Source organism: Homo sapiens, chromosome 2 (genome assembly GCF_000001405.40).
Source record: "Homo sapiens chromosome 2, GRCh38.p14 Primary Assembly".
Classification (NCBI taxonomy): Eukaryota; Metazoa; Chordata; class Mammalia; order Primates; family Hominidae; genus Homo; species Homo sapiens.
Window position 1 is genome coordinate 197576088 of NC_000002.12, and position 20870 is coordinate 197596957.

Here is a 20870-nt window from a genome sequence, read left to right on the forward strand (position 1 = left end):
AGCTTCTGCCTCCCAGGTTCCAGCAATTCTCCTGACTCAGCCTCCTGAGTAGCTGGGACTCCAGGCATGCGCCACCTTGCCAGCTAATTTTTGTGTTATTAGTAGAGATGGGGTTTCAACATGTTGGCCAGCTGGTCTTGAACTCCTGACCTCAGCATTTTGCCCACCTCTGCCTCCCAAAGTGCTGGGATTACTGGTGTGAGGCAGTACCACTGTGAGTCAGTGGTGTGGTGTCTGGCCTTTAAGAGCTTATTTAATACTGATAACATGGCAGATATTAGAGAATATGATCATATCCTCCTAGGCACATAAAATTGAATATAGATTTAAAGATACATTTAAAAATCACAGTAATTTCCCAGTTTACAAAGAGCTCATTTACTGAAAATTCATTTATATGTTATTTGGGAAGTAGGGTTGCATTTTTCCTAAATGTAAGAGGTAAAATTATAAAATTCTTAGATAAATTGTAGAAATCAGATACCCAGGCTGATCTTACAGAAGTTTGTTAATGATTCATCTGTTGAAATGCAGTGCATAAAATACCCGGGTATTTTCTACTGGTTTTTACAGCAAATATACAAAGCAAACAAACAGCTTTATTAAAGGGGATTTTGTGAGCTACTGTGGAATGTAATACCATTTATGACACTGTTTGTACAGGAAGATGCAGCCCCAGCGGGTTGCATAGAAAGGAGTTTATTGGCAGCTCAGAGGCAGCTCATCTTTTTCTTGGCCAAGTTACCGGAGTTGAGCAAGTTTAAGGGAAAAAGTTGTGAAAGGAAAATAACCCTTGGGGCCCCAAAATCACCAAGCTAAAAGGAAAAGTCAAGCTGAGAATGGCTTAGGGCAAACCTGCCTCCCATTCTATTCAAATTTACCCCTCTGCTCACTGAGATAAATGGATATCTGATTGCCTCTTTTGGAGAAGCTAATGGAAACTCAAAATAATGCAGCCACTTTTCTCTTATCTACCCCTGCTCATTTGGAGTTGTCCCGCTTTTAGTCCCATCTTTCTGGATGGAACCAAAGTTCATCTTACATATGTTGATTGATGTCTCATGTCTCCCTAAAATGTGTAAAACCAAACTGTGCTCTGACAACCTTGGGCACATGTCATCAGGACTTCCTGAGGCTGTGTCATGGGAATGTGTCCTTAACCTTGGCAAAATAAACTTTCTAAATTAACTGAGACCTATCTCATATATTCGGGGTTCACAAAGTCTACAGTAGGTCCTTTCTCAACAATGGCCCACCTTCGTGGCCCCAAGTTAGACACAGTTTGGTGGTTGTCACGTTTTCCATTGGCACCCTTGCATTCATCAAATGCAAATATCAGCTCTTCAGTTCTTTTCCTGTTTATTCCTATTCACCAAATTTATTGAAATTAATATATGCGGTGGAACCTGACAGATTTACTCTCAGAAAAGGTACAAAATTTGAGAATGGCACCTTCTTCCCTGCACTGGGGCATTGGTCAGCAAGGATACAGTCTTTTGGCTTCAGATACGGCTGATGAACACTGCCAGACTGCGCTCCTTTCTCAAGCCTGGCCAGTGGCTATCTTTCCCACATGCACAATGAATGCATTTACTCTTTTTTTTGAGACAGAGTTTCTCTCTGTCACCCAGGCTGGAGTGCAGTAGCACAATCTCCACTCACTGCACTGACCACCTCCCGACTTTTCAGAGTCATTACTATTTACAATTGCTTGACTACCTCCTGGGCTCAAGCAATTCTCCTGCCTCAGCCTCCAGAGTAGCTGGGATTACAGGAGCACCACCATGCCTGGGTAATTTTTCTATTTTTTATAGAGATGGGATTTTGCCATGTTGGCCAGGCTGGTGTTGAACTCCTGGACTTAAGTGATCTGCCTGCCTCAGCCTCCCAAAGTGCTGGGATTACAGGCGTGAGCCACCGCGCCCAGCCAGAATGCATTCATTCTTGAATGATGCTCTCAATGCTCTCAACACTGACAGAATCAAAATAGGAAGGTGGGGGTTCCTGGGGGCTTCCTGGGTCTTGCCTTGCTCACCAGCGCTAGGGCCAAAGGTAAATTTTGCAATTAATTCCTCTTTATATATCAGCTAATAGAGGCCAAGTCTCACACACTTAACAAGAATTTTCTTAATAAAAATGGGATGCTCTTCAGAATAATAAGACATTCATAGTAATTCAATTTAAAATAAGCATTAATAGGTAAACAGCCACCAAATGTAAATTTCAAATGTTAAAAGATGGCAAAAATACTTAGCACTGCACCTCTAAAAAGACTTCTGTACCAACACACACTTTTTTTCTTTTTTTACCACGTGACTGTTATGTCAGGCCTCTGAGCCCAAGCCTGCATGTATACATCCAGATGGCCCAAAGTAACTGAAGAATCACAAAAGAAGTGAAAATGGCCATTTCCTGCCTTAACTGATGACATTACCTTGTGAAATTCCTTCTCCTGGCTCAGAAATTCCCCTACTGAGCACCTTGTGACCCCCAGCCCTGCCCGCCAGAGAACAACCCCCTTTGACTGTAATTTTCCACTACCTACCCAAATCCTATAAAACTGCACCACCCATATCTCCCTTCACTGACTCTCTTTTTGGACTCAGCCCGCCTGCACCCAGGTGATTAAAAAGCTTTATTGCTCACACAAAGCCTGTTTGGTGGTCTCTTCACACGGATGCGCATGACATTTGGTGCCGTGATTCGGATTGGGGGACCACCCTTGGCAGATCAATCCCCTGTCCTCCTGCTCTTTGCTCCATGAGAAAGATCCATCTACAACCTTGGGTCCTCAGACCAACCAGCCCAAGGAACATCTCACCAATTTTAAATCAAGTAAGCGGCCTCTTTTACTCTCTTCTCCAACCTCTCTCACTATCCCTCAACCTCTTTCTCCTTTCAATCTTGGTGCCACCCTTCAATCTCTCCCTTCTCTTAATGTCAGGCCCTTTCCTTTTCTGGCAGAGATAGAGGAGACACATTTTATCCATGAAAACAAAACTCTGGCGCCGGTCACAGACTCGGGAAGACAGTCTTCCCTTGGTGTTTAATCACTGCAGAGACACCTGTCTGATTATTCACCCACGTTTCAGAGGTGTCTGATCATGACAGGGATGCCTGCCTTGATCCTTCACCTAGTGGCAAGTACCACTTTCCCTGGGTGGTAAGCACCACCTTGCCTGGGGGGCAATTGCCCCCGACCCCTTCTCTCCATGTCTCTACCCTCTCTTTTCTCTGGGCTTGCCTCCTTCACTATGGGCAACCTTCCATCCTCCATTCCTCTTTCTTCTCCCTTAGCCTGTGTTCTCAAGAACTTAAAACCTCTTCAACTCACACCTGACCTAAAACCTAAACACCTTATTTTCTTCTCCAATGCCACTTGACTTCAATGCAAACTCAACAATTGTTCCAAATAGCCAGAAAATGGCACTTTCAATTTTTCGGTCCTACAAGATCTAGATAATTCTTGTCGTGAAATGGGCAAACGGTCTGAGATGCCTGACGTCCAGGCATTCTTTTACACATCGGTCCCTCCCTAGCCTCTGTTCCCAATGTGACTTGTCCCAAATCCTCCTTCTTTCCCTCCTACCTGTCCCCTCAGTCCCAACCCCAAGCATCACTGAGTCTTTTCAATCTTTCTCTTCTACCGACCCATCTGACCTCTCCCTTCCTCCCCAGACTGCTCCTCCTCAGGTTGCTCCCTGCCAGGCTGAATCAGGCTCCAATTCTTCCTCAGCCTCCACTCCCCAACCCTATAATCCTTCTATCACTGCCCCTCCTCACACCTGGTCTGGCTTACAGTTTTGTTCCACGACTAGCTCTCCCCTACCTGCCCAACAATTTCCTCTTAAAGAGGTGGCTGGAGCTAAAGGCGTAGTCAAGGTTAATGCTCCTTTTTCTTTATCCGACCTCTCCCAAATCAATTAGCGTTTAGGCTCTTTTTCATCAAATTAAAAAACCCAGCCCAGTTCATGGCCCACTTGGCAACAACCCTTAGATGCTTTACCGCCCTAGACCCAGAGGGGGCAAAAAGCCATATTATTCTCAATATGCATTTTATTACCCGATCCGCTCCCGACATTAAAAAAAAGCCCCCCAAATTAAATTCTGGTCCTCAAACCCCACAACAGAACTTTATTAACCTCGCCTTCAAGGTGTACAATAACAGAGAAGAGTTGCAATTACTTGCCTCTGCTGTGAGAGAAACCCCAGCCACATCTCCAGCACACAGGAATTTCAAAACTCCTAAGCCACAGTGGTCAGGCATTCCTTCAGGACCTCTTCCCCCAGGATCTTGCTTCAAGTGCTGGCTAATCTGGCCACTGGGCCAAGGAATGCCCGCAGCCTGGGATTCCTCCTAAGCCATATCCCATCTGTGCAGGACCCCACTGGAAATCGGACTGTCCAAGTCACCTGGCAGCCACTCCCAGAGCCCCTGGAACTCTGGCCCAAGGCTCTCTGACTGACTTCTTCCCAGATCTTCTCAGCTTAAAGGCTGAAGGCTGATGCTGCCTGATCACCTTGGAAGCCTCCTGGACCATCACAGACGCTTTAGGTAACTCTTACAGTGGAAATTAAATCCATCCTCTTCTTAATCAATATGGAGGCTACCCACTCTACATTGCCTTATTTTCAAGGGCCTGTTTCCCTTGCCTCCATAACTGTTGTGGGTATTGACGGCCAGACTTCTAAACCTCTTAAAACTCCCCAATTCTGGTGCCAACTTGGACAACGTTCTTTTAAGCACTCTTTTTTAGTTATCCCCACCTGCCCAGTTCCCTTATTAGGCTGACACATTTTAACCAAATTATCTGCTTCCCTGACTATTCCTGGACCACAGCCACATCTCATTGCTGCCCTTCGTCCCAACCCAAAACCTCCTTCGTGTCTTCCTCTCGCATCCCCCCAACTTAACCCACAAGTATGGGACATCTCTACTCCCTCCCTGGCAACCAATCACACACTTGTTACTATCCCATTAAAACCTAATCACCCTTACCCTGCTCAATGCCACTATCCCATCCCACAACAGGCTTTAAGGGGATTAAAGCCTGTTATTGCTCACCTGCTACAGCATGGGCTTCTAAAACCTATAAACTCTCCTTACAATTCCCCCATTTTACCTGTCCCAAAACCGGACAAGTCTTATATGTTAGTTCAGGATCTGTGCCTTATTGTTTTGCCTATCCATCTTGTGGTGCCCAACCTGTACACTCTTTTGTCCTCAATACCTTCCTCCACAACTCACTATTCTGTTCTTGATCTTAAAGATGCTTTTTTCACTATTCCCCTGCACCCATTGTCCCAGCCTCTGTTTGCTTTTATCTGGACTGACCCTGACACCCATCAGTCCCAGCAGCTTACCTGGGCTCTACTGCCGCAAGCCTTCAGGGACAGCCCTCATTACTTCAGCCAAGCTCTTTCTCATGATTTACTTTCTTTCCACCCCTCCACTTCTCACCTTATTCAATATATCGATGACCTTCTACTTTGTAGCCCCTCCTTTAAATCTTCTCAACAAGACACCCTCCTGCTTCTTCAACATTTATTCTCCAAGGGATATCTGGTACCCCCTTCCAAAGCTCAAATTTCTTCTCCATCTGTTACCTACCTCGGCATAATTCTTCATAAAAACACATGTGCTCTCCCTGCCGATCATGTCCAACTGATCTCTCAAACCCCAACCCCTTCTACAAAACAACAACTCCTTTCCTTCCTGGGCATGGTTGGATACTTTCGCCTTTGGATACCTGGTTTTGCCATCCTAACAAAACCATTATATAAACTCACAAAAGGAAACCTAGCTGACCCCATAGATCCTAAATCCTTTCCCCACTCCTCTTTCCATTCCTTGAAGACAGCTTTAGAGACTGCTCCCACACTAGCTCTCCCTGACTCATCCCAACCCTTTTCATTACACATAGCCAAAGTGCAGGGCTGTGCAGTTGGAATTCTTACACAAGGACCGGGACGGTGTCCTGTAGCCATTTTGTCCAAACAACTTGACCTTACTGTTTTAGGCTGGCCATCATGTTTCTGTGTGGTGGTTGCTGTTGCCCTAATACTTTTAGAGGCCCTCAAAATCACAAACTATGCTCAACTCACTCTCTACAGTTCTCATAACTTCCAAAATCTATTTTCTTCCTCACATCTGACACATATACTTTCTGCTCCGCAGCTCCTTCAGCTATACTCACTCTTTGTTGAGTCTCCCACAATTACCATTGTTCCTGGCCCAGACTTCAATCTGGCCTCCCACATTATTCTGGATACCACAGCTGACCCCCATAACTGTATCTCTCTGATCTACCTGACATTGACTCCATTTCCCCATATTTCCTTCTTTCCTATTCCTCACCCTGATCACACTTGGTTTATCGATGGCAGTTCTACCAGGCCTAATTGCCACTCACCAGCAAAGGCAGGCTATGCTATAGTATCTTCCACATCTATCATTGAGGCTACCACTCTGCCCCCCTCCACTACCTCTCAGCAAGCTGAACTCATTGCCTTCACTCAAGCCCTCACTCTTGCAAAGGGACAATGCATCAATATTTACACTGACTCTAAATATGCCTTGCATATCCACACCACCATGCTGTTATATGGGCAGAAAGAGGTTTCTTCACTACACAATGGTCCTCCATCATTAATGCCTCTTTAATAAAATAGGCCTCTTCTCAAGGCCTATTTACTTCCAAAGGAAGCTGGAGTCATTCACTGCAAGAGCCATCAAAAGGTGTCAAATCCCATCGCTCAGGGCTATGCTTATGCTGATAAGGTAGTTAAAGAAGCAGCTAGTGTTCCAATTTCTGTCCCTCACGGCCAGTTTTTCTCCTTCTCATCGGTCACTCCCACCTACTCCCCCACTGAATCTTTCAGCTATCAATCTCTTCCCACACAAGGCAAATGGTTCTTAGACCAAGGAAAATATCTCCTTCCAGCCTCACAGGTCCATTCTATTCTGTCATCATTTCATAACCTTTTCCATGTAGGTTACAAGCCATTAGCCCGCCTCTTAGAACCTCTCATTTCCTTTCCATCATGGAAATCTATCCTTAAGGAAATCACTTCTCAGTGTTCTATCTGCTATTCTACTACCCCTCAGGGATTGTTCAGGCTCCCTCACTTCCCTACACATCAAGCTCGGGGATTAGCCCATGTCCAGGACTGGAAAATTGACTTTACTCACATACCCCGAGTCAGGAAACTAAAATACCTCTTGGTCTGGGTAGACACTTGAACTGGATGGGTAGAGGTCTTTCCCACAGGGTCTGAGAAGGCCACTGCAGTCATTTCTTCCCTTCTGTCAGATGTAATTCCTCAGTTTGGCCTTTCCACCTTTATACATTCCGATAATGGACCGGCCATTCTAGTCAAATCACCCCAGCAGTTTCTCAGGCTCTTGGTATTCAGTGGAACCTTCATACCCTTTACCATCCTCAGTCTTCAGGAAAGGTAGAACGGACTAATGGTCTTTTAAAGACACACTTCACCAAGCTCAGCCTCCAACTTAAAAAGGACTGGACAGTACTTCTTTTTTTTTTTTTTTTAATTATACTTTAAGTTCAAGGGTACATGTGCACAACATGCAGGTTTGTTACATATGTATACATGTGCCATGTTGGTGTGCTGCACCCATTAACTCATTGTTTACATTAGGTATATCTCCTAATGCTATCCCTCCCCACTCCCCCACCCCACGACAGGCCCCGGTGTGTGATGTTCCCCTTCTTGAGTCCAAGTGTTCTCATTGTTCAATTCCAAACTATGAGTGAGAACATGTGGTGTTTGGTTTTTTGTCCCTGCGATAGTTTACTGAGAATGATGATTTCCAGCTTCATCCATGTCCCTACAAAGGACATGAAATCATCCTTTTTTATGGCGCATAGTATTCCATGGTGTATATGTGCCACATTTTCTTAATCCAGTCTATCATTGATGGACATTCGGGTTGGTTCCACATCTTTGCTATTGTGAATAGTGCCGCGATAAACATACATGTGCATGTGTCTTCATGGCAGCATGATTTATAATCCTTTGGGTATATACCCAGTAATGGGATGGCTGGGTCAAATGGTATTTCTAGTTCTGGATCCCTGAGGAATCGCCACACTGTCTTCCACAATGGTTGAACCAGTTTACAGTCCCACCAACAGTTTAAAAGTGTTCCTATTTCTCCACATCCTCTCCAGCACCTGTTGTTTCCTGACTTTTTAATGATCGCCATTCTAACTGGTGTGAGATGGTATCTCATTGTGGTTTTGATCTGCATTTCTCTGATGGCCATTTTTTCATGTGTCTTTTGGCTGCATAAATGTCTTCTTTTGAGAAGTGTCTGTTCATATGCTTTGCCCACTTTTTGATAGGGTTGTTTTTTTCTTGTAAATTTGTTTGAGTTCATTGTAGATTCTAGATATTAGCCCTTTGTCAGATGAGTAGATTGCAAAAATTTTCTCCCACTCTGTAGGTTGCCTGTTCACTCTGATGGTAGTTTCTTTTGCTGTGCAGAAGCTCTTTAGTTTAATTAGATCCCATTTGTCAATTTTGGCTTTTGTTGCCATTGCTTTTGGTGTTTTAGACATGAGGACTGGACAGTACTTCTACCTCTTGCCCTTCTCAGAATCAGAACGTGTCCTCGAGATGCTACAGAGTACAGTCCATTGAACTTTTACATGGACGCACTTTCTTGCTCAGCCCCAACCTCATCCCAGACACCAGTCCTCTAGGTGACTATCTTCCAGTCCTCCAGCAGGCTAGACAGGAAATTCGCCAGGCTGCTTATCTTCTCTTGCCTACTCCAGATTACCAGCTATATGAAGACACCCTAGCTGGACGATCAGTTCTTGTTAAGAATCTGACCCCTCAAACTCTACAACCTTGATGGACTGGACCCTACTTAGTCATCTATAGTACCCCAACTGCCGTCCACCTGCAGGATCCTCCCTACTGGGTTCACCATTCCAGAATAAGGCTGTGTCCGTTGGACAGCCAGCCTAATCCCTCCTCTTCCTCCTGGAAGTCGCAAGTACTCTCTCCTACTTCGCTTAAACTCACTTGCATTTCTGAAGAACAGTAATAACCCTCATGAGCCTAATACATCCCTTCATTCTATTAAGACTATTCATCCTTACCCTACTTTTTGCAACAGGGCTTTATGCAATCACCCTCACTATTTGGACTGCACCCCAAAAACTTGTCATCCCTACTGTCTTCTGACTAGTCATACTCCTATTCACCATTCTCAACTACTTGTAAATGCCCTGCCCTTGTTTACACTGGTGGTTTACCCTTTTCCTTCAAACCATCATAACTGATATCTCCTGGTTTTACCTCAAACTGCCACTTTTAAGTCTCTCTTAAGGTGAATAGATGATCTTTGCTGACAGGGCACACTCCAATACTTTCACCCTGATGAAGTTCTGTTCTTTACTTTTATACTCACTCTTATTCTCATTCCCATTCTTATGCCACCCTCTACCTCTCCCCAGCTATCTCCACCACACTATCAATCTCACTCTCTGCTAGCCATTTCTAATCCCTCCTTAGCGAACAATTGCTGGCTTTGCATTTCCCTTTCTTCCTGTGCTTACACAGCTGTCCCCGCCTTACATACAGACTGGGCAACATCTCCTGTCTCCCTACACCTCCGAACTTCCTTTAACAGCCCTCACCTTTACCCTCCTGAAGAACTTCTTTACTTTCTAGACAGGTCCAGCAAGACCTCCCCAGACATGTGACATCAGCAAGCTGCCGCCCTCCTCCGCACTTACTTAAAAAAACCTTTCTCCTTATATCAACTCTACTCCCCACATATTCGGACCCCTCACAACACAAACTACTATTGCTGTGGCTGCTCCTTTTTGTATCTCTCAGCAAAGACCCACTGGAATTCCCTTTCACCTTCGTGATGTTCCTTCACTCTTCATCTCCAAAGCCCAACTACACACACCACTGAAACAATTGGAGCCTCCCAGCTCCGTATTACAGATAAGCCCTCTATCAATACGGGCAAACTTAAAAACATTAGCAGTAATTATTGCTTACGAAGGCACTTACCCTGTATTTCACTCCAACCTTGGCTACCTTCCCCTTGCTCGTCAGACTCTCCTCCCAGGCCCTCTTCTTGTTTACTTATACCCAGCCCCATAAATAACAGTGAAAAGTTGTTTGTAGATACTCATCGTTTTCTCACACACCATGAAAATCGAACCTCCCCCTCTAAGCAGTTACCCTATCAGTCCCCATTAAAACCTCTGACAGCTGCCGCCCTAGCTGGATCCCTAGGAGTCTGGGTAGAAGACACTTCTTTCAGCACTCCTTCTCATCTTTTTACTTTGCATTTCCAGTTTTGCTTTATACAAGGTCTCTTCTTCCTCTGTGTATCCTCTACCTACATGTGTCTACCTGCTAATTGGACAGGCACATGCACATTAATTTTCCTTACTCCCAAAATTCAATTTGCAAATGGGACGGAAGAGCTTCCTGTTCCCCACATGACACTGACACGACAAAAAAGAGTTATTCCACTAATTCCCTTGCTTGTCAGTTTAGGACTTTCTGCGTCCACTAATGTTCTTGGTACTGGAATAGCAGGCATTTCAACCTCTGTCATGACCTTTCGTAGCCTCTCTAATGACTTCTCTGCTAGCATCACAGACGTATCACAAATTTTATCAGTCCTTCAGGCCCAAGTGACTCTCTAGCTGAGGTTGTCCTCCAAAACCGCCGAGGCCTTGACTTACTCACTGCTGAAACATGAGGACTCTGTATATTTTTTAAAGAAGAGTGTTGTTTTTACCTAAATCAATCTGGCCTGGTGTAAGACAACATAAAAAAACTCAAGGATAGAGCACCAAAACTCTCCAACCAAGCAAGTAATTATGCTGAACCCCCTTGGGCACCCTCTAATTGGATGTCCTGGGTCCTCCCAATTCTTAATTCTTTAATACCTGTTCTTCTCCTCTTATTCAGACCTTGTATCTTCCGTTTAGTTTCTCAATTCATACAAAACTGCATCCAGGCCATCACCAGTCATTCTATATGACAAATACTCCTTCTAACAACCCCACAATATTGCCCCTTACCACAAAATCCTCCTTCAACTTGACCTCTGCTACTCTAGGTTCCCACGCTGCCCCTAATCCTGCTTGAAGCAGCCCTGAGAAACATCGCCCATTATCTCTCCATACCACCCCCAAAAATTTTCGCCGTCCCAACACTTTACCACTATTTTGTTTTATTTTTCTTATTAATATAAGAAGAAAGGAATGTCAGGCCTCTGAGCCCAAGCCTGCAGGTATACATCCAGATGGCCTGAAGTAATTGAAGAATCACAAAAGAAGTGAAAATGGCCATTTCCTGCCTTAACTGAAGACATTACCTTGTGAAATTCCTTCTCCTGGCTCAGAAGTTCCCCCACTGAGCACCTTGTGACCCCCCACCCCTGCCCGCCAGAGAACAACCCCCTTTGACTGTAATTTTCCACTACCTACCCAAATCCTATAAAACGGCCCTACCCCTTTCTCCCTTCGCTGACTCTCTTTTTGGACTCAGCCCGCCTGCACCCAGGTGATTAAAAAGCTTTATTGCTCACACAAAGCCTGTTTGGTAGTCTCTTCACACAGACACGTGTGACATGTTAAGTTTAATAAATACATCTTCAGCAATCATATCACCTCTCCTACCCCACCCTCATTTCACATTAAATAATAACATTTCCAACAAACCAAACTGTGATGTTCTCATAACTTAGACTGTAGAAGTCTGAAGCCCAACTAGTTCTTGGAGATTATCTACTTCAGTCCCCTTATTCTACAGAGGTGGGGCCCAGACCCAGAAAGAAAACAGGATTTGTCCAAGGTCATGAATAGCTGGCCCGGAACTGTAGCCCAAGTCTCTTACCTTATTCTTTTCACACTGTCTTACCCACATCTGCAAAAATATGAGTAGATTTGCTGTAAAAGATTTGTGTGTTTCCTAAATAAAAATTTCATTCAATCATAAAAATAACACACATTTAATATAGAAAATGTGACAAAAACAAAGAAAAAAGCAAAACCCACCTATAATTCCATCTCCCAGAAATACAACTGTTAAAACCTCGGCATATTTTCCTATTTTTTTCTCTCTCTACATATATATGTTTGCATGCACACAGACGATGTATAGAAACAGTACATAAAACTTTTTTTTGAGATGGAGTTTCACTCTGTCTTGAGATTAATCCAAGTTATGTGTATCAGTAAGTTCTTTCCTATTCATTTTTATTTTTTATTTGTAGAGACAGACTTTATCTTATTTTACTTTTTTATGAGATGGGGTCCCAAGTTGCCCCAGTTGGTCTCAAACTCCTGGCCTCATGGCCAGCCGCCTTCCTTGGCCTCCCAGAGTGCTGGGATTACAGAGGTGAGACACCATGCCCAGTCCTTTTTATTTCTGAGTATTTAATTGTATGGATGTACCACTGTTGTTTATTCATTCACTTGTTGAAGACATTTGGGTTGTTTCCAGTTTGAGGTGATTACGAACAGAGCTGCTACAAATACTTGTGTGTAGGTTTCTGTGTGAACGTAAGTTTTTATTTCTCTAGGTTAAACACCCAAGACAGGGACTGCTGGGTCATATGGTAAATGTCTGTTTAACTTCCTGAGAAGCTGCCAAACTGTTTTCCAGGGTGGATGATATGGTTTGGTTCTGTGTCCTCAACCAAATCTCATCTTGTAGCTCCCATAACTTCCACGTGTTGTGGGAGGGACCTGATGGGAGATAATTGAATCACAGAGATGGGTCTCTTCCGTGCTGCTCTCATCATAGTGAATAAATCTCATGAGATCTGATGGTTTTAAAAATGGGGCCAGGCACAGTGGCTCACGCCTGTAATCCCAGCATTTTGGGAGGCCAAGGCAGGTGGACCACGAGGTCAGGAGTTTGAACCAGCCTGGCCAACATAGTGAAACCCCATCTCTACTAAAAATACAAAAATTAGCCAGGTGTGGTGCTACGCGCCTGTAATCCCAGCTACTCAGGAGGCTGAGGCAGGCAGAATTGCTTGAACTGGAGAGGCGGAGGTTGCAGTGAGCTGAGACCATGCCATTGCACCCCAGCCTGGGTGACAGAGTGACTCTGTCTCAAAAAAAAAAAAAAAAAAAAAAAAAAAAAAAAAAGGAGTTCCCCTGCACAAGCCCTTTGCCTGCCGCCATCCACCATCCACGTAAGATGTGACTTGCTCCTCCTTGCCTTCTGCCATGATTGTGAGGCCTCCTCAGCCATGAGGAACTCTGAGTCCAGTTAAATCTCTTTCTTTTGTAAATTACCCAGTCTCAGGTATGTCTTTATCAGCTGCGTGAAAACGGACTAATACAGTGGATATACCACTTTGCATCCCCAGCAGCTGTGTATGAGGGTTCTGATTGCTCCTCATTCTCCCCAGTTCTTGGTATTGTCAGTATTTTTTATTTTAACCATTTTAACAGGTGTATGATATCTCATTATGAGTTTTCATTTGCACTTCCCTAATGGCTAGTGATTTAAGCATCTTTTCATGTATTTACTTCTCATTTACATATCCTCATTGGTGAGGTGTTCCAGTCTTTTAATTATTTTTTAACTGGGTTCTTTTCTTACTCTTCAATTGTGAGAGTCCTTGATACCCCTTGGGTAAAATCGTTTGTCATGTATATGATATATGAGTTTTTCTCTCCCAGTTTGTGGCTTGTCTTTTCCTTCTGTTAACAGTGTCATTCACAGAACAAAAGTTTTATATTTTGATGAATTATATTTTTTCAATTTTTAAATAGATTATGCTTTTGGTCTTATGTCTAAAAACTTTTTTTTTGAGACAAGGTCTCACTCTGTTGCTCAGGCTGGAGTACAGTGGCGCGATCATGGCTCACAATAGCCTCCATCTCCCAGGCTCCAGCGATCCCCCCACCCCCACTCCCCCAAGTAGCTGGGATTACCCGTGTGCGCCACCATGCCCAGCTAATTTTTGTATTTTTTGCAGACAGGGTTTTGCTGAGCTGACCAGCTGGTCTCACACTCCTGGATTCAAGTGATCCTCCTGCCTCAGGCTCCCAGAATGCTGAGATTACAGGTGTGAGCCACCGCACCTGGCCCCTAAAAACTCTTTGCCTAACTCCACTTGACAAAGATTTTCTCCTATGTTTTTTCCTAATAGTTTTCTAGTTTAACTAAAATGAATTCTCTTAATAGCTTAGAGAAAACTGAGGTAGTAAATGAGGGTCTAAATATTTTGAAATGACATTTTTCATGTTTAAAAACAGTCACAAGTATCTAGAATACTGCAGAAGATCTGTGAAATATAAAACAAATTCCAAAAGTAAAGGTCTCCATAACTTCCGAAGAAAAAAATCCAATGATACGCTTTCTTCATTGTGCAATCCTCAATTTCCTCCCCCACAACAAGGGCATGAAATGGATTTGTTGAACATAATGTGTCCAGAATTGGTGGGTCCTTGATCTCACTGACCTCAAGAGTGAAGCCACGGACTCTCACGGTGAGTGTTATGGTTCTTAAAGGCGGCGTGTCCGGAGTTTGCTCCTTCTGGTGTTTGGATGTGTTCGGAGTTTCTTCCTTCTGGTGGGTTCGTGGTCTCGCTGGTTCAGGAATGAACCCGCAGACCTCCACGGTGAGTGTTACAGCTCTTAACGTGGCGCGTCTGGAGTTGTTCGTTCCTCCCGGTGGGTTCGTGGTCTGGCTGGCTTCAGGCGTGAAGCTGCAGACCTTCGCAGTAAGTGCTACAGCTCATAAAGACAGTGTGGACCCAAAGAGGGAGCAGCAGCACAATTTATTGCAAAAAGTAAAAAAACAAAACTCCCCAAGTGGGGAAGACGAGCCCAGCAGGTTGCCACTGCTGGCTGAGGCAGCCTGCTTTTATTCTCTTATCTGGCCCCACCCACATCCTGCTGATTGGTCCATTTTACAGAGAACCAATTGGTCTGTTTTACAGAGAGCTGATTGGTCCGTTTTGACAGAGTGCTGATTGGTGAGTTTACAATCCCTGAGCTAGACACAAAAGTTCTCCACCTTCCCCACTAGATTAGCTAAATACAGAGTGCTCTTTGGTGCATTTACAAACCCTGAGCTAGACACAGAGTGCTGATTGGTGCATTCACAAACCTTGAGCTAGATATAGAGTGCCGATTGGTGTATTCACAATCCCTTAGCTAGACACAAAGATTCTCCAAGTCCCCACCAGATTAGCTAGATACAGAGTGCCAATTGGTGTATCCACAAACCCTGAGCTAGACACAGGGTGCTGATTGGTGTGCTTACAAACCTTGAACTAGATACAGAGTGCGGATTGGTGTATTTACAATCCCTTAGCTAGACATAAAGGTTCTGCAAGTCCCCACCAGACTCAGGAGCTCAGCTGGCTTCACCCAGTGGATACTGCACTGGGGCGGCAGGTGGAGCTGTCTGCCAGTCCCGCGCAGTGTGCCCATACTCCTCAGCCCTTGGGCGGTCCGTGGGACCGTGCACACTGGAGCAGGGGGCAGCACTCATTGGGGAGGCTCCGGTGGTGCAGGAGCCCACGGTGGTGGAGCGGGGGGGCTCAGGCATGGCGGGCTGCAGGTCCTGAGCCCTGCCCGGCGGGGAGGCAGCTAAGACCCGGTGAAAAATCGAGGGCAGTGTGGGAGGGCTGGCACTGCTGTGGGACCCGGCGCACCCTCCATAGCTGCTGGCCTGGGTGCTAACAATGCCTGGGGCCAGCCGGCCGCTCTGAGTGTGGGCCCACCGAGCCCACGCCCATCTGGAACTCGCCCTGGCTTGCAAGCACTGTGCGCAGAACTGGTTCCTGCCCCGTGCCTCTCCCTCCACGCCTCTCCCTCCACCCCTCCCTGCAAGCCGAGGGAGCCGGCTCTGGCCTCGGCCAGACCAGAGAAGGGCTCCCATGGTGCAGCGGCGGGCTGAAGGGCTCCTCAAGTGTGGCCAGAGTGGGCGCCCAGGCTGAGGAGGCGCGGAGAGTGAGTGAGGGCTGCGAGGGTTGCCAGCACTCTGTCACCTCTCAATAACAGTACTGTTCTGTGCTCAGTGAAATTGGGTAGGAAAAGTCTTGATATTAGTCTTAGTAAAAGAAACAAGAGAAAAATTTTTTTTTTGAGATGGAGTTTTGCTCTTGTTGCCCAGGCTGGAGTGCAATGGCATGATCTCAGCTGAGCACAACCTCTGCTTCCCAGGTTCAAGCAATTCTCCTGCCTCAGCTTCCTGAGTAGCTGGGATTACAGGCATGTGCCACCACGCCCAGCTAATTGTGTATTTTTAGTAGAGAAGGGGTTTTTCCATGTTGGTCAGGCGGGTCTTGAACTCCCGACCTCAGATGATCCGCCCGCCTTGGCCTTCCAAAGTGCTGGGATTACAGGCGTGAGCCACTGTGCCTGGCTGAAGAAATTTTTTTCAAAGGTCAGACTCTAGGTTAATTTCTATCAGCCCATGAAATCTATTGTTTAATGAAAACTCATTGACAATCCTAGGACAACATTTGTAATGTCTGAAATATCTACCAACTGTTTTTAAAACTAAACATCTTTGAAAAAATTCTTTGAAAGACTTTATAAACAAAGCAGTCTTCCCATCAACCCCTTCCAAACAATAACTGATTTCAGGGTATTAACAAAGAACAGTGCTATTATGGATCTGTGACTGCATAAATTTTTTCAAGGCATATTGTAAATACAACTTTCACAAAATATATATGAGATAGCTAAATTAACATTTTGGTAATAAATTAACTCTATATTGATATTAATAGTTTACTGTCCTGAAAGTATTACTACCATTCTGAGATAGAGTAAGAAATTGTTTCCTTAAGTAAAAACTGAATTTGCAAATCAGCTTTCTGTTATAGCTGTTAGACACTTTGACTCCTACCTACAAGTTCTACCCTGAAATAATCTCAAGATCCTGCGGTTTCTTGTTAGAAAAATTAAACATTTGTCAAATGAAGAAATGGTAAATCCGTTTAGAAGAGGAATTGTAAGTTATAAAATATATTATTATTAGATTTGTCATTGATACAAACCAACTATATATACTTCCCATTATATAAATGAACCAGTAATTTTACATTTCAGTGAAATATAAAGATTACCCAAAGAAAAGCTATGACTAGAGACTACTGGATAGTATCTAAAGCTAAACAAAAAAGAGCTTGGTACAGTGGTGAGCACCTGTAACCCTAACTACTTGGGAGGCTAAGGTGGGAGGATTGTTTGAACTCAGGAGTTTGAGACCAGACTGGGCAACACAAGAAGACCCTGTCTCATAAAAAAGTAAAACATGATAAACAAAAAGGGCCTGCATATTTTTGGGGAATTAAAAACCTTATATCTAATATTAAGTAAAAGAGACTGTGAGGTAGCTGGATTTGGGTCTTACATCTTCACAAGCACAACTCCATGGCCCTCAGTAAATCAAAACCCCATGAGGCTGTGAATTCTGATGATTTTTTCCTAAAAATAATGGCCATTTGTAGAATGTTAAAAAGAAAGAAAGAGGCCAGGTGTGGTGGCTGACACCTGCAATCCCAGCACTGTGGGAGGCCGAGGTGGGGGGATCTCGAGGTCAGGAGATCAAGACCATCCTGGCCAACAAGGTGAAACCCCATCTCTACCAAAAATACAACAATTAGCTGGGCCTGGTGGTGTGTGCCTGTAGTCCCAGCTACTCGGGAGGCTGAGGCAGGAGAATCACTTAACCAGGGAGTAGGAGGGTGTAGTGAGCAGAGATTGCGCCACTGCACTCCAGCCTGGCAACAGAGTGAGACTCCATCTCAAAAAAAAAAAAAAAAGAATAAGAAGGGTGTGACATGATGAGAAGTTTGCTTTGGGGGAAGAAGAAAGGACAACTTTTTCTGGCCATTCTCTGCATATACCCACCTTTGCTTCTTTTAGGCAGAATATTTCTTTTTTTTTTTTTTTTTTTGAGACAGAGTCTCACCCTGTTGCCAGGCTGCAGTGCAGTGGTGCGATCTTGGCTCACTACAACCTCTACCTCCTGGGTTCAAGCGATTCTCCTGCCTCAGGCTCCCAAGTAGCTGGTACGACAGGCACGTGCCACCACGCCTGGCTAATTTTTGTATTTTTAGTAGAGACAGGGATTCTCCATGTTAGCCAGGATGGTCTTGATCTCTTGACCTCATGATCCGCCCACTTCCGCCTCCCAGAGTGCTGGGATTACAGGCCTGAGCCACCACGCTGGGCCAGAATATTTCTTTTATTTAATTAATTTTTTTTGAGACAGGGTCTCACTCCGTCACCCAGGCTGGAATGCAGTGGCATGATCACAGCTCACTGCAGCACTGAACTCCTGGGCTCAAGTGATCCTCCCACTTCAACATCCCAAGTAGCTGGGACTACAGGCATGTGCCACCATGCCTGCCTAATTTATTTTTTAATTTTTTGTAGAGACAGGGTCTGCCAATGTTTCCCAGGCTGGTCTCAAACTCCTGGGTTCAAGCAGTTCTCCCACTTCAGCCTCCCAAAGTGTTGGGATTACAGGTGTGAGCCCCTGTGCATGGCCTAGACAGAATATTTTTTAATAAACTCATGAACTTGAGTCATCCTCATTGTTGTGGAGGGTTGCAGTGCTCACTTGTGGGCTTTAATGTGGTTTCTAATTCTGTGTACTTGGTCATTCTATTCTCCTGCCTCTCCGTCTTCCCAACAACCTCTCTACCTCTCTACCGATTTACCTACTGACCCAGCCAGCCTCTTTCCAAAATTAATGTGAGACAATTTAGCATGACTGTATTATACACACAGTCAATCTAGCTCTTTGATAGTTTAGATAACTTTAAAATGTACTAAACAATGTTTTCTTTTTTCAAATCTCTGCAGCTTTGCCCGAAAACATAAAACAACGTTTTCTTGATTTAGATACAGAAAAAGAATCACTTTAAATAGTTTTCTGGTCCATTTTCAAATTTCTTGTTTTGCAAGTTATGCTTTATTAATGCACAGATTGCCTCATTCAATCATTGTATTCCAGCTGTGCATCCAGTAAGATCAAGGTGACTTGAGGATCAGAATAGCCCTTCAGCAAAGTGCTGAAAAAATATAAACTTGAGTAGATAACATAAAAGAAAAGTGTTGCCAAAGGTCAATATAGCCAAGGTTGCATGGATGCATTGCAAGATCAGGCACATTCATTCACAAGATTTAGAACTGTAAGGGCAGAAAAAACTGTTCCTCTCTCCTCTTAGGTTCAGTAGCTGAGAACTACAAATTAAACTGACAAAAGACATATTAACAGGAGAAAAGGTTTATTTTCAATGCACACAGTCTTTTCACAGAAAAGTAGCAAAAACCCAAAGAGGCAGTTTGGTGTAGAAGACCTGGGAGTTTATATACCATTTTAACAAAGGGTGGTAAGTTGTGGACAGGTGACTAGATGAGGGAAAAGGAGTTTGGGCTTCTGGGGAAGTAAATTGTGAGAAGGCAAATACATGGGGTAAACGAATGGAAGATCAAGCTTATTTTAGTAAGGTTTGTTTTTGCAGACTCTTCAGTGTGAATTGTCTCTGGTGATTAGACACGTTTACAAATGGAAATTTATGTCGCCTTTATAAAGTGACATGTGTGCCCTTGTTTTTCAGCAGAAAGGTGGAGGACAGAGAGTTCCTCCTGTGTCTGCTGTTTCTTAATTGCCTTCAGCTCAAAGTAATCCTCTTGCCAAAGTGGCATATTTTGTGATGGCATATTATAATCCCCTTTGGAACTATTTCATGTTGCCTGATTGCTAGCACATTTCCCTTATAGGTTGGTTCAGAGGACTGTTTCCATATCATGTCCACGCTTTCTTATTTGGAATTACAATGAGAGTTTAAGGATTAAATGCTTCAATATAACATTCAGTTAATAAAGCATCAATTTTACTCACATCTGGTGTTTGAGCAGCTGAATTCCACATAACTGGCCTCTGAAGGAATACGATCTGCTTTGTAGCCAAATTCCCTTCACTGCAAATTAAAACAATAGTATTAGTATTTGTGAGTTAGTAATTCTCTATATTTCATAATTGGCTAGAACATTCCATATGTAGTTTTGTAAAATAATCTTCTGACCAAAAATAATTATAAAATATAAATCTTTTTTTTCTTCCAGTGATGGAAAGAATGTAAAATATAATTCTATAAAAACCACATCTGGAAAAACAGGAAAAACCCCTAAAAACTGAATATGGTCACTATAAAAGGAAATAATTTTAATGTTTAAAGACACTTGTAATCTCACCAAGCTAACATCAATATTTTCATTTCTTTGTTTCCCCTCTTAGTCTTTATCAGCTTGTGTAATTTGCATGTCTGTGATCACTGCACATTTATATTTTGTTTCTATGCCCTTCACTGAATGCTCTTTTCCTTGTTTGTACACTGTAATCCTATTTTTAATGGTTGCATAATAACTCAAAGAATTAAGATACCAAAATGTACTAAGCCTTTCTTTTATTATTGGAAAATAAGGTTGCTTCCAGTTTCTTGCCAGTTATAAATATATGATGCTATTATAAAAAATATGTATCATATTCCTCTTATGAATTATTTTCTTGAAATGAATACTTAGGAGTGGGATTATTAGGTCAAATCTTATGATTTAAGCTTCTTGGTATGCATTGTCAAACTTGCCTTATAAACAGAAGAGACTAATTTAGGCTGCCACATGTGAGAAAATTTACATCCATTTTCAATTGAGGGACTTCAACTATAGCTAGATTTATTTTCAGATGCTTCTTTGTAGTCAGCTACTCAGTATTCTCCTTATTTAACTATCATCATGGCAAATTACCCCTTGCCAAAGACTGCTTGGGGTTTGTATTCCTCTGAAATGCTTTTCACAGAGTCTCCATG

At 43.6% G+C, this 20870-nt stretch overlaps 1 protein-coding gene across 6 annotated transcripts in view, besides 3 other annotated features; it reads right to left on the reverse strand.

The window, feature by feature from the left end:
* Positions 1-20870, reverse strand: part of RFTN2 (raftlin family member 2) — a 107364-nt gene that overhangs the window by 7864 nt on the left and 78630 nt on the right. For 3 of the 6 annotated variants that reach the window (XM_011510598.4, XM_011510596.4, XM_011510595.4), the window contains exons 8-9: positions 19904-19982; positions 11905-11934 (exon numbers count right to left, since the gene is read on the reverse strand). In XM_011510598.4, the coding sequence (XP_011508900.1) occupies positions 11905-11934; positions 19904-19982 (109 nt within the window). The remainder of the gene's footprint in view (positions 1-11904; positions 11935-19903; positions 19983-20870) is intronic. The other 3 variants (XM_017003332.3, XM_011510597.4, NM_144629.3) reach the window with 1 other exon arrangement.
* Positions 6526-7041: an enhancer, noted in NCBI's record as "NANOG hESC enhancer chr2:198447337-198447852 (GRCh37/hg19 assembly coordinates)". NCBI's record gives its function as "activates a minimal SCP1, AML or CMV promoter by ChIP-STARR-seq in naive and primed H9 embryonic stem cells {active_cell/tissue: H9 hESC(naive and primed)}" and the evidence as "EXISTENCE:reporter gene assay evidence [ECO:0000049][PMID:30033119]".
* Positions 10766-11464: an enhancer, noted in NCBI's record as "OCT4-NANOG-H3K27ac hESC enhancer chr2:198451577-198452275 (GRCh37/hg19 assembly coordinates)". NCBI's record gives its function as "activates a minimal SCP1, AML or CMV promoter by ChIP-STARR-seq in primed H9 embryonic stem cells {active_cell/tissue: H9 hESC(primed)}" and the evidence as "EXISTENCE:reporter gene assay evidence [ECO:0000049][PMID:30033119]".
* Positions 11465-12162: an enhancer, noted in NCBI's record as "OCT4-NANOG-H3K27ac hESC enhancer chr2:198452276-198452973 (GRCh37/hg19 assembly coordinates)". NCBI's record gives its function as "activates a minimal SCP1, AML or CMV promoter by ChIP-STARR-seq in primed H9 embryonic stem cells {active_cell/tissue: H9 hESC(primed)}" and the evidence as "EXISTENCE:reporter gene assay evidence [ECO:0000049][PMID:30033119]".